This window comes from Homo sapiens, chromosome 13, assembly GCF_000001405.40.
Source record: "Homo sapiens chromosome 13, GRCh38.p14 Primary Assembly".
NCBI lineage: Eukaryota > Metazoa > Chordata > Mammalia > Primates > Hominidae > Homo > Homo sapiens.
The window spans coordinates 52,615,560-52,617,349 of record NC_000013.11 but is presented as its reverse complement, the minus strand read 5'-3'; the positions used below and the strand labels follow the sequence as shown (position 1 = coordinate 52,617,349).

Sequence of the window (1,790 nt, the reverse complement as noted above, 5' to 3'; positions counted from 1 at the left end):
TATTCCTAGAGGCGGAGTCCTCGCCAGTGTTCAGTAAGGTTCGCTGGCCTAGGAGGATTCCAGACCGCCGAGACCGCCGAACAAGATAGTGGAGGGCGTGATCAGTTGTGCAAAAACTACAGATGATCAGTCTGTTTTTATGTTGTTGTTTTTCTGAGACTGACTCTCCCTCTGTCGCCCAGGCTGGAGCGCAGTGGCGCGATCTTAGCTCACTGCAACCTCCGCCTCCCGTGTTCAACCAGTTCTCCTGCCTCAGTCTCCTGAGTAGCTAGGATTACAGGCGTGCGCCACCACGCCCGGCTATTTTTTTTTTCTTTTTTGTACTTTTAGTAGAGACGGGGTTTCAGCATGTTGGCCAGGCTGGTCTCAAACTCCTGACCTCGTGATCCGCCCGCCTCGGCCTCCCAAAGTGCTGGTATTAGAGGCGTGAGCCACCGCGTCTGGTGGTTTCTTCACCCACACATCTGATGCCTCAGCTGGAGTAACTGGAAGAAACAGGGGCTAGCTGAATCTCTCTCCACACCTTTGCCCCGTGCTTTTTTTTTTTTTTTTTTTTTTTTTTTTTTGAGATGAAGTCTCACTCTGTTGCCCAGGCTGAAGCACAGTGTCGTGATCTTGACTCACTACAACCTCTGCCTCCCAGGTTCAAGCTATCCTCCTGCCTCAGCCTCCAGATTAGCTGGAGATTAGCAGCCTCCAGATTAGCATACGACACCACACCTGGCTACTTTTTGTATTTTTTTAGTAGAGACGGGAGTTTCACCATGTTGTCCAGGCTGGTCTCAAACTCCTGACCTCAGGTGATCCACCTGCCTCAGCCTCCCAAAGTGTGGGATTACAGGCGTGAGACACTGCGCCAGCTTGCCCCATGACTTTTGTACCTGGCTGGGTTGCACTTCCTCACAGCATGGCATCTCAGCATATTTGGACTTCTTTTTATTATTATTATTATTTTTTTTTTTTAGTCTCTCTCTCTCTCCAGGCTGGAGTACAGTGGCGCAATCTCAGCTTACTCCAACCTCCACCTCCTGAGTTCAAGCAATTCTCCTGCCTCAGCTTCCCGAGTAGCTAGAACTACAGGCATGCACCACCACGCCCAGCTAATTTTTGTATTTTTAGTAGAGATGGGGTTTCACCACATTGGCCAGGATGATCTTGATCTCTTGACCTCGTGATCGGCCTGCCTCGGCCTCCCAAAGTGCTGGGATTACAGACGTGAGCCACTGGGCCTGGCCTATATTTGGACTTCTTACAGAGCAGCTGGCTTGCCTTAGAGTGAACATTCACACCAGACTAAAGCTGCACAGCATTGAAAGTCACATGACATCACTTTCATTTCATTCTATTGGTGCAAAATGGGTCACAGGGCCAGTCCAGATTCAAAGTGAAGGAACCACACTTCCCTGAAAGTACCAGCAGCAGTGGCCACTGGGGGACGATTTTCAGAGAGTTGCTACCACATCCTAGAAAACTTTGAATTAGTTAATTCCATTCATTTCATCAGTATTTTCTTTAAAAAACTGTTTTAAATTATTTTTAAATTTTTTGTGGGTACATAGTAGGTGTATATAGTTATGGAATACATGAGATGTTTTGATATAGGCATGCAATGCGTATTAATCACATCATGGAGAATGGAGTACTCAAGCATTTATCCTTTGAATTACAAACAATTCAATTACATTCTTTAAGTTATTTAAAAATATACAATTGTTATTGACTACAGTCACCCTATTGCGCAATTAAAATAGGTCTTATTCTTTCTATATTTTTTGTACCCACTAACCATC

At 45.8% G+C, this 1,790-nt stretch overlaps 1 annotated feature.

Moving 5' to 3' along the window:
* Positions 391 to 510: an enhancer, noted in NCBI's record as "active region_7792". NCBI's record gives its function as "activates an Ori minimal core promoter by ATAC-STARR-seq in GM12878 lymphoblastoid cells {active_cell/tissue: GM12878}" and the evidence as "EXISTENCE:reporter gene assay evidence [ECO:0000049][PMID:35858748]".